This window comes from Homo sapiens, chromosome 14 (assembly GCF_000001405.40).
Source record: "Homo sapiens chromosome 14, GRCh38.p14 Primary Assembly".
Classification (NCBI taxonomy): domain Eukaryota; kingdom Metazoa; phylum Chordata; class Mammalia; order Primates; family Hominidae; genus Homo; species Homo sapiens.
The window spans coordinates 29,004,595-29,016,845 of NC_000014.9; the positions used below are offsets into that span (position 1 = coordinate 29,004,595).

Sequence of the window (12,251 nt, forward strand, 5' to 3'; positions counted from 1 at the left end):
AATTGGGCAAAGGACATGAACAGACACTTCTCAAAAGAAGACATTTATGCAGCCAAAAAACAGATGAAAAAATTCTCACCATCACTGGCTATCAGAGAAATGCAAATCAAAACCACAATGAGACACCATCTCACACCAGTTAGAGTGGCAATCATTAAAAAGTTAGGAAACAACAGGTGCTGGAGAGGATGTGGAGAAATAGGAACACTTTTCCACTGTTGGTGGGACTGTAAACTAGTTCAACCATTGTGGAAGTCAGTGTGGCGATTCCTCAGGGATCTAGAACTAGAAATACCATTTGACCCAGCCATCCCATTACTGGGTATATACCCAAAGGACTATAAATCATGCTACTGTAAAGACACATGCACACGTATGTTTACTGCGGCACTATTCACAATAGCAAAGACATGGAACCAACGCAAATGTCCAACAATGATAGTCTGGATTAAGAATATGTGGAACATATACACCATGGAATACTATGCAGCCATAAAAAATGATGAGTTCATGTCCTGTGTAGGGACATGGATGAAATTGGAAATCATCATTGTCAGTAAACTATTGCAAGGACAAAAAACCAAACACCACATGTTCTCACTCACAGGTGGGAATTGAGCAATGAGAACACATGGACACAGGAAGGGGAACATCACACTCTGGGGACTGTTGTGGGGTTGGGGGAGGGGGGAGGGATAGCATTAGGAGATATACCTAATGCTAAATGACGAGTTAATGGGTGCAGCACACCAGGATGGCACATGTATACATATGTAACTAACCTGCACATTGTGCACATGTACCCCAAAACTGTAAAAGTGTAATAATAATAAAATAAAAAAAATAAAAAAAAAGAAATTGGTCACTCATATATTGATGGAAGAGTAACTTGACAACAATTTTCTGAAATTTAAATTTGGTAATATGTATCAAAAGTTTTAAATGGTACAGTATTTATAATGCAGTAATTCCATATTTATTAGTATTTTAGGGTAAAATGTGTGATATAGAGATGCAATTTTATATACACCCATAAAAATGAAAATTAGAAATAATATAATTGTAGAACAGAAGGCAATTGGTTAAAACTAACGACATATTATTTTTACTACAAATCCGTGAGCGTTGCCAGCTTCCTGCCCATTGTTGCAAGACGTACCATTTGAGTCCTTTAGTTACTCCACATCTGTGCATAAGTTTGTCCCTTTGCCTCCCCTCCCTTCTCCTTCCTTTCCTACCCTTCCTTTCTTTTCCACTCTCTTCTTGCCCTTTTCCTCATTGTCTTTCTTTCTTTTTCATTCACATAAAGCAGCCAGAGTAATTCTGACACTTTGCTCAAGTTTATTCAACTAGAGCATGTGTTGGGGCTGAAATCTGAACTCAAGTAGATGACTCCAAAGCTTGTGCTCTTAAACACTGTTTCAGAGTACCACTGACTGCTCAAGCCCACCTCTGATTCTTACTGCTGAAATGCGTATGTGTCTACTTTTATCAGATTTTGCACAAGTCACTTTTCCTACTAAGATATCCTTCCTTTGCTTTCCTTGATTACTTCCAGTTCTACTTAAATCCTTCCAACAACCATGAGAATATCCACTTCTAAAATATTCATTAAACCCTGTAAATTATAGAGACATTCTCTTCATGACACTTCCTATTTACTGGTGGAATATGAGACAGTGAAGAATCAAAGCCAAGAATTACTCTCCAGCTTGAAAAACCACCACTGGTCCCTGTGACTTACAAGATAAAATCTAAGCCTCAGAAACTTCACATCATGTAGACATTTTTTTCTAGTCTGGTCCGAACCTACTTCCCTAGTGACATCCTACGCCACCTGCTCCTTTTTCTCCTTCTCCCCAGCATGTCCTCCCTACCCAATCCTTCATCCCCCCTCTCCAGCAACACAGATCAGCTTCCTCTTACCCCATCAGGTGAAAATTTGGCAGCTGTTTGACATGATGCCTTGAAAAACTTTATTTTGTCCATATGGCTAGCATTAATTTGTGTAAAACTTTCTTGTGACAATCTTTTTCATTGTCTTGCATTTTTAAAAATGTACTTTTATTTGTAGTGTAGAGGAAAACACACAATTCAGTCAGTGAAAAGACCTGTCTGACTTAATCTCTTCTGATTTGAGATGATTCCTAAAGGAATCCTTGTATTTTTGCCATTCAGGTTTATTTATTTATTTATTTTAAAATACAGGGAAAATGGCTGCTATCAAAATAAATCTGCGTTCTGCTCAAAGGAATATTTATTGATACTATAACAAAATTGCATTATGTCAGTTTAAATCCATGGAAAATACTGTAACTGAAATAATATATAATTTTATATATTTTGTTTGATTTTTTAAAATAGTTCAAGACATTAATGTCATTATTCTGATATTTTGCTTCAATATATTTATATTCTGAATATAAAAATTACATCATACAAAATAAGATGGAATACTCTTTCTGTAGGTTAGAAGGATCATATTGCACACTGCTGGAAACAAAAAATTATCTGAGAATAAAAATATTAGGAGATAGGAGATACAAAATGCCTTTTTTTTTTTTTTTTTTGAGATGGAGTTTTGCTCCTGTCACCCAGGCTGGAGTGCAATGGCGTAATCTCGGCTCACTGAAACTTCCACCTCCCCAGTTCAAGCGATTCTCCTGTCTCAGCCTCCCAAGTAGCTGGGATTACAGGCACCCACCACCACACCCTGCAAATCTTTGTATTTTTAGTAGAGATGGGGTTTCACCATGTTGGCCAGGCTGGTCTCAATCTCCTGACATGATCCACCCACCTCGGCCTCCCTAAGTGCTGGGATTACAGGTGTGAGCCACCATGCCTGGCCACAAAATGCCTTTTTTATGCTTACAAAGAAAGATGATATCAGGTGCCTCGTGTTTGTTGTTAATCGTTTATTTGATGTTAAATTCAACATCTCAACGTACCTCTGAGACACAGTGGTCTTTTACCTTAAGTTTTAATGGTTAGCTGCTGCCTCTTTTCTCTACTTTAAGATAAGATAAAACAAGTTTTTCTGCTTTCTTAATTTGGTACCAATTCATCTAGATATTGGTGTATTTTAGGTTCCAAAATTATTTTAGGCATGGGATCAAAGAAGAAACTTCTTTGTAGCAGCATCCCAGTACTAGGACTTTTTGTCTCTGCATGGAAATCTGAATATATTTATATGTTGGAGTGACATCTCTACAGGAAGCCTAGAGACCTAACTGTTTGCTACATGTCACCAAAGTTAAAGTGTAAGTGTGGGTAAATTTCATTGCTTGTTTAGACCTTATAAATATAATTACTCACTGTTAGACAATAAGAAATAGAAAACACTCAAGTGGCTTCCTTATACCTGGGTGTGTTGATTTTGTTTTGTCAATGAGGGCTTTCATTAAGAGCCACTAAAGGTAAGCTTCTCTCAATTGATGTAGTGGTAACAATTTACTCTCTCCTGTCATAGTGAAGATAGAATGAAAAGAACCTGTCCTTCAATCTGTTTGTGGTAGAGATTTCTTTTTTTTTAAAGTATAAACATTGAATTCCTCTGCTTACTTGGAGATGGAAGGTCATTAACAGGGCACTTGAGCAGATAGGAATTACAGTCAATTGAGACGTTGAAACATCCTAAATGGCCTAATGCACCAACTAAGTGCTTCTTAAATTCCAAAACTTTTACTTGAGCACAGCAATCATGATTTTCCATTGCCTTTAGTAAATGTTGTTTTATATCATTTTATGCGAGGCAGCAACACAAATTTAAACCAGTGTGTTTATGTTTTCAGCTTAGTAACATTACTTTGTCAAGACGTAAATGTAAAATTTGATTATCAGTTAATTACGTATGGTTACTTATTAAAATTAACAGAAAAATTAATGGAAGGTAAGTTAGATGGTACTGCTAATGCCAATGCAATTTATTTCAAGATTCTATACTAATTTGAACTATTACTGCTATATGTGTGTTAAGTTTTGCGCACTCTCTCCCTATTTATATATATGTGTGTGTATATATATATATATATATATATGCACACACAAATACAGGGTATTTAGCAATCAAATGTATCTTAGGCCACATAACATGTAGTATATGAAAATAATGCATATGCAAGACATTTTTTAGTCTGGTCTGAATCTCCTTCTCTAGTGACATCCTATGCCACTTGCACATATTTATTATGTGATAATAAATAACCACAGCAGACACAATGAAGTACTAAGAAGACCTAAACTTTAGTCCTAGTGTTGTCATTTGTCATCAGTAGGATCAAGGTCACTTGAGTTTTCTTGCCTTAGCGTTCCACTAAGAGATGTCTCAATAATAATAATGAGAGTCTCAATAGATGACCTGCAAGATTATGTACAGCTCTAAACTTCTGTAGTATTATGTGTACTTATAAATTCCTAAAGCCATTTTTTTTTCATTTATGCACAAATCCCAGTTACTAAGGTAAATGAGTTAATAGTAAGTTGGGACAATTTTTACAATATGAATTAGAGAATGCAGGCTCTGTTAAAACAATAAAAGAGTGAGACAGGAAGAATGGCAAATTGTGAGAAAAGAATATTTAGTCTTCTAAAACAAACTCAGAAATTGAAGTGATATATGGTGATAGACAGCATAGTGGTAATTAGTTCAGTGCTATGAGGTACTTGAAAGTCTAGACTTTAGAAGGTGGAAGCTATCCGTGAACTAAGAAATAGGATGCCAGTGGTACAGGTGGAGACATCTTTCTGAGATCAGAGTTACAGGAAAAACAGGAAATGAGGTGGCAATTAAGTAATTGCTGCTGTCAAGACTATATTTTTTTTCAAGAAGACAGTCTAGGGCAAGGTCAAAGGTAAAGGTAAGGTTGAAAAATATAGGAATAAGATTTTTTTCCCTAGAAAAGTACATCTGAAAAAACCTCCATAGAGTTTATACAGGGGCAGCAATGCATACTTTGGAAACATACAAATTCTCAAACCTCACACTAGTAAATAATATGTTTTAGAATCACTTGTGAATACCTGCAATGGCCCCAGAATAGTACTAAGAAAACACCTTTTTCATCATGCTTTGGTACAAAGTATGCCAAATAATAAAATACAGTCCTTGAAATTATTAAATATGTGCTTACACAGTGGACTATTCAAAGCCATTACAGGCTGGTAAACAAGTAATAAATGATCAAAAGTCCATAACTACACATTTATGTAATTCACAGCTGTCACCTTCAATGGATTAAATAATGTGACTTCTCAACCATGGTCTTTTAACCAATATTTATAACAGCTTAAATAGATTTTTGAAAATCTAATTTTGAATAAATATTAATCTTTTGCAAAAGGTGCTAAAATTAATATTTAGCCACTGTTTGTAAAAGCATTTCAGTATTGAATACTGTTGTTGCAAAATATTCTTTTATTGCATATAAAATATTCTATTTAATGATTAAATTAATCATAAAATAAAATTTTAAAAATGCAGGAAGATCATCACTTTTAATGTGTTCATTAATATTCAGTTGGGATTTATTTAAAACAAAATTGTTTCTTCAGACATTGTAAACTTTATTCACTACCTGGCAGTAGGTGTAAAATAAGAATTTACTTGTCAAGAGGGAAAAGAACATTAGAGTGGGTATCTATCTTTAAGAATTTAAGAGGATGCATTTCCAGTCAAATTTTCAAGGGTGATTAAAGCATTTAAATCTTAGAGTATTTTTAACTATATTTAAGAAGTTTATTTTATCATTTCATTCTTAGAATTTGTGAATAAGTCTCATTACTCACATTTCATGACAGAGAGTCAAAAGATCAAGCTGCCTTCTTATAATTTAAAAAGTCTCCATTATTCCTCCAGTAGACAGTTGAACATTTTTTAATGCTCTCTCTGGGGGTAAAACAATTTTATTCATTGCGTTATCTCATCTGAAACTCTGTGTGGTAAAAGGTGGTACGAAAAGGATAAAATGTTGTGAGTCATTTTCAATGACCTCTTAACCATGCTGCCATTTTGCTTTGCTACCATTTCAGCTGCAATACTTGGTTATTGTTCTAGATTTTGGTTTTGCAGTACATAGCTCATGCCTTGAATGAACATAATAAAATGTAGAAAGCAATAAAGCATATCTGCCTGAACTACCTTTATCAGAGTAGTCCCTCTCTTTTTACTATAACTTTGCTATTTGGACTTTGCTATTTTAATCCTATATATAAAAACATAGGAAATGTTGTTTATTAAGTTAGAAAATGTTTTTAATTTCTAATAATTAGAACCCTTACCAATGGCAATATCATACAGCAAAAAACTTTGTTTCTATTTTAGGGAGGAAGTTAAGGCTATTCAGAATTATGTCAAGCACACATCCATTCTTTGAACAACTCCTTCCTTTCTCCTACTCTCTCAGATTCTTTCTCTAGTGGTTCCTTTCCCTCAGTTTAAAAATATTTTTCCTTCACTAAACTTTTCTCTTGCTCTAAAACTATTTCCTTTCATTCTTCTGACAAATTTTGTCCACTTTCTCTCTTCCTCTCAAAGACACTTACTGAGCAATTGGTTTCATACCAACTGTCTATGTTCCCATGTTCATTCTTCCATCCACTGCAACCTAGCTTCTGCTCCCATTTCTCTGCAGAGACTATTCTTGCTGAGCTCATTAGTGATTCAACCCAATGAACAGTTTAGTCCTTATCTTACCAGTCATTCCTGCAGTGAATATTAATGACTATGTTGTCTCTTGCAGATTTTCTGTTCTTTTATCTTTCATGGCATGATACTCACTTCTTCTTGTCCCCATTTTTCTTTCTTCTTCTGTCTCTCACACAATTTGACCCTTATGTAACCGCTATTTATCATTATATTGCTTTCTGTGAGATTTCATCCATTGTCATGATTTCAAGCATATCTAAACTATGTGTACCTGATTCCCAAGTCTCTACTTCAAGCTCAGACTTTCTTCCACAATTAGACTATATATTACCTTGGACAAATGTTCTACAAGAGCCTGAAACTCAACAAGTCCAAAATGAAACACTATCTTTACCCTAAATGGGCTCATGTTTTATATTCTCTGCCTGATTTGGCAAGATCAATTTCTATTTCACCACTATCACTAAAAGACTAATTCTTAACCTCTTTTAGTCTCTTTTCCTCTCTACACTCAATACCTCTAAGTACTCTTTTCATCAGTTTTAGATGCATATTTCTGCATGTTTTAACAACTCTGAAATCAGGATGTATCATAACAAGCCACAATCAAAGTATTGTTCCAGTTTGATTAGCAGATATTTTATTACCTATTTGTAACACAAAAAGACATATTGTGTCCTATGGTCCACTCCATGTGCCTTACATTAGGTGAAATCTAGTACTTCACATATATATCTCAATATCTCCACTTCATGTCTACTCCTCTAATTCAACAGTCCTTACATTGAAAATTATAGAACACTGATGAAATAAATTAAAGCACACAGAAATAAATAGAAAGATACCCCATGTTCAGGAATTGCAAGAATTAATATTGTAAAAATATCTATACCACCCAAAGTGATCTACAGATTAAATGCAATTCCTACCAAAATTCTCATGGTATTTTTCACAAAAGTAGAAAAATAATCCTAAAATCTTTATGGAAGCACAAAGCAACCTCAGATAGGCCAGACCAATTCTGAGCAAGATTCACAAAGCAGGAGCCATCACATTTCCTGATTTCAAAATGTATTACAGAGCTAAATAACCAAAACAGTGTGGCACTGGCATTAAAACAGACATCTAAAACAATGGAACAGAATATAGAGCCCAGAAATAAACCCACGCATATAGGGTCAACTGATTATTGACAGGGGTGCTAGGAATACACAATGGGGATAGAACAGTCTTCAATAAAAGGTGTTGGGAAAACTGGAAATCCATATGCAAAAGAATGAAATTGGACTCTTTTCTTACACCATACAAAATGTCAACTAAACATGGAGTGATAAACACTTAAAATGTAAGAGCTGAAACGGTAGAACTCCTAAAAGAAAACACAGGGGGAAAACACCTGGATTTTAAGTTTAGCAGATTACATCAAACTTTAAAGTTTCTCTACAGTAAAGAAAATAATCAATGAAATTAAAAGGCAACCTTGGAATGAGAGAAAATGTTTGCAATCTGAATATTGGATAAAGGGCTAATATTCAAAATATATAAGGAGCTCCAACAATGCAATAGCAAAAATAAGCAAACACACAAGAACCAAATAACCAGATAAGAAAATGGTAAAAGGACATGAATAGATATGCAAAGGACCAACAGATATATGGAAAGGTGCTCAATGTCACTAATCATCAGGGAAATGCAAATAAAAACCACAATGAGATATCACCTCACACCTGTTAGGATGGCTTTAATTAAAAAAAAATAGATGCTGGTGAGGATGTGGAAAAAGGGAACCCTTGGACACTGTTGGTGAGAATGTAAATTGGCATAGCCTCTATGGAAAACAGTAAGACTCATGCAGTTTCCTTGCATGTGGTTGGCCTTCTCTCTCAAACTTCCGTAATCACTCATTCCCCACTTCTTACCTACCTGCCTTGATGAGGTGATCTCTAAACTAGGACCTGTAGGATGTTAATTAGATTAAGAGAATAGCAAAGAATATTTTATACAATCTGACATGTGCAAAAATCCTGTGGCAGGAAGGATTGTAAAAAATGACCAGTGTAAGGTTGAAGTAGAAAGACAATGGGTATAAGCAGAGACTGGAAAGTAATATTGGCACCATAGAATGCAAAGCTTCATGGATCATATTATGGAGTTTTCCCCTTAACCTTAGGGCAATAGAAAACCACAGAAAAGTTTTAAATGTTGGGCACAGGAGGTTATATGGTGAGATATGCATTTTTTAAAAGTCCTTCTGTCTCAATTGGAGGGAAACTAGACTGAACACAGAAGATCAATTATGTTTCTTGCACAAATTAGGGGAAACAACATGGTGTATAGGAAGAACACAGAACCTAGAGTTGAGCAGACTTGAGATCAATCCAGATCCCAGCATTTCTATAACATTGTGAGGATATGTAAGAACATATAAAAAGCTTAACAAACATTAGTTCTCTTTCACCTCTCCCAAATTGGATTCTCCCCAACAAGGTGAGCAAATAACTATATGTTATGCAGAAAGCACATTCACTTTCAAATTTAAAACTTCACCCCAAGGCTTACATTTTTATATCTCAACATATTGTTTTTAATAGCTATAGTATTTCTTATCTTTATACTTTTTGCTTAACATAAAAAGTAAATTCCAGGCCTAAAACTTAATAAGTAGGTAGAGGTAAGCAGAGAAGATTACAATTTGGGCCAACCAGCATAAACTCTAACCCCTTAAACAATGCCTCCTTTTATGTACTGCACTTCATATGGGTATCAGAGTAGAACTGTGTAATGACAGCCCTAATAGCTACCAGTCGTAAAGAAACAACAGAGGAACAAATGTTGAGACTTGAAAGTTGGAAGGATCAATAGCTAGATAGCATTTGTTATATGAGAGCTGAAATTAGATCTTCAAAGAAATACTGCCGAAAGCAAAATTAATTAGGTAATTTAGTATACCTCCAAAATAACTTACTTTAAGATTTGAGTCCCAACATACACTATATATTTCTGTCACTACTAATCTCGTTTAAAGGATTTATCCAATCCAAACTTTGTTTATCTTCTGGCCATTTTATAGTTTAGGATACCCTCTCTAGTATAACTTTTATTAAATATCCTCTTTTTTGAGGATGTGTGTGTTTCAACTTCTCTGTGTAAGTTTCTTAAAGTCAGATAATATTTATCTTTTATCCCTAGCCTCTAGAAAATCATGTCGAACGTGGTGAATACTTACAGATATCAGTTGGCCAGGTAAACATGTCAATTAATTTGGAGAGTCTCTGTTTAAATACCATTCAAGTATTACCTCTTCTGAAAGTCCTTTACTATCTACTTTTATCTTTCTCTTTTTTTCTCCATGGTGTGTATTGTTTTCTGCATTTCTATTCATTGTGCACTTATCTGTTGCCTGTTTCCCTGACCAGAACATGTACTGCATGAGGGCAGGCACTTCGTATTCCTCTCATCTATATCCCCAGGGACTCACACAGAATAGATGCTCAAATATATTTGGTAAATGAATGAAATACAGATTTAGTGTTTTCTCAGTGTTAACTTTTCATATTTGTCAGTACTTGAAAATATGACAGCATTATTCTAGGAAATTGATATTATCTCATTATGATATATTAGGGCTCTCTAGAGAAAAAAAATATATAGTTTTTGTTATTTTTTCTTCAACTTTTAAGTTCAGAGGTACAGGTATAGGACATGCAGGTTTGTTACATATGTAAACAAGTGCCATGGTGGTTTGCTGCACAGACCAACCCATCACCTAGGTATTAAGCCCAGCAACCATTAGCTATTCTTCTTGATGCTCTCCCTCTCTCCACCCGACCCCCGCCTACAGGACCCAGTGTGTGTTGTTCCCTGCCATGTGTCCATGTGGTCTCATTATTCAGCTCCCACTTGTAAGTGAGAACATACCGTGTTTGGTTTTCTGTTCCTGCATTACTTTGCTGACCATAATCGCTTCCAGCTTCATCCATATCCCTACAAAGGACATAATAATCCATGGTGTATATGTGCTACCTTTTCTTTATCCAGTGTATCATTGATGGATATTTAAGTTGATTTCATGTCCGTGCTATTGTGAATTGTGCTGCAATGAAAATACACGTGCATGTATCTTTATAGCAGAATGATTCCTCTGGGTATGTACCCAGTAATGAATGACATTGCTGAGTCAATTTTTTCTGCCTCTAGGTCTTTGAGAAATCACCACACTGTCTTCCACAATGGTTGAACTAATTTACACTCCCACGAATGATGTAAAAGTGTTCTTTTTTCTCAGCAACTTCACCAGCATCTATAGTTTTTTGAATTTTTAATAATAGCTATTCTGACTGACATGAGATGGTATCTCATTGTGGTTTTGATTTGCATTTCTCTAATGATCAGTGATATTAAACTGTTTTTCATATGTTTATTGGCTGCATGTATGTCTTCTTTTGAGAAGTGTATGTTCATGTCCTCTGCTTGCTTTTTAATGGGGTTGTTTTTTTCTTGTAAATTTGTTTAAGTTCCTTATAGACTCTGGATATTAGACCTTTGTCAGATGGATAGATTGTGAAAATTTTCTTCCATTCTGTAGGTTGTCTGTTCACTCTGATGATAGTTTCTTTTGCTGTGGAAACAGTGTGTGTGTGTGTGTGTGTGTGTGTGTGTATATATATATATATATACACACACACACAGAGATGTATATATATATACATCTCTGTGTATATATATGTATGAATGTATATATATCACACATATACACACACAGTCTGTTGGTTCCCCCTTTCTCTCTCTTGAGGTAGATATACGGAAAGATTTAGATATATATCTCTATCTGTCCATCTAGAGACATTTATTTTAAGGAAATTATTTATGCATTTATGAGACCTGGAAAGTCTGAAATGTTCCGGACAGGCCCACACGCTGCTATTCTTGCAATTCCTTCTTCTTCCAAGGATCTCAGTCTTTTGTCTTAAAGCCTTCAACTGATTGGATGAGGCTCACCCACATTATGGGAGGTAATCTGCTTTACTCAAAATCAACTGATTTAAATACTAATCACATCTCATACCTTCAAAGAAACATCTAGCCTGGCATTTGGCCAAACAACTGAGCACTATAGCCTACCTAAGTTGACACATAAAATTAACCATCACATGGGAGAAGAAACCTAATATCTAAGTCTTCTTTCTATCCCCTGGATTGCCAACAGGGAGCCTAAAAACTGCTTGCACAGCTGCCGCCAGCAGAGGGCACCCTGAGGCACAGGTTTTGAGGGTCTTAAGTCTGTGCTCTACCTACTCTGCGTGGTCTGCAGCCCAACAGCACCTACACCACCTGGGACCTTGTTAGCGGTGCAGAATCTCAGGCCCCATCCCAGATCTAGTGAATTAGAAACTGCATGTTAACAAGGTCGCCACGGCATTACTATGCACGTTAAGCAACTGCAATGTTCTTCCCAGGAAATTCCAGACAAAGAAATCTATCTTAATATTCCACTCTCCATTTTGCATTATGGGCCACCACATAGGATAGAAAAGATACTTGTGCTGGTTGGCCTGTCTGCCTTTATTTAGGGAGAACACTTGGGCTCAATGAAAATCAGACGCATGAG

The 12,251-nt window shown here is 35.5% G+C and overlaps 2 long non-coding RNA genes across 9 annotated transcripts in view; one reads left to right on the forward strand and one right to left on the reverse strand.

Moving 5' to 3' along the window:
• Window positions 1-12,251, forward strand: part of LOC107984685 (uncharacterized) — a 216,619-nt gene that overhangs the window by 33,306 nt on the left and 171,062 nt on the right. For 6 of the 7 annotated variants that reach the window (XR_001750697.1, XR_001750694.2, XR_001750699.2 and 3 more), the window contains exon 1: window positions 3,093-3,260. The exons of the other annotated variant lie outside the window; for it this stretch is intronic. This is a non-coding gene — a long non-coding RNA (uncharacterized LOC107984685). Of the gene's footprint in view, window positions 1-3,092; window positions 3,261-12,251 lie in introns of those variants that run through there. 7 annotated transcript variants of the gene reach the window in all.
• Window positions 1-12,251, reverse strand: part of LINC02326 (long intergenic non-protein coding RNA 2326) — an 89,407-nt gene that overhangs the window by 28,946 nt on the left and 48,210 nt on the right. The window lies entirely within an intron of this gene.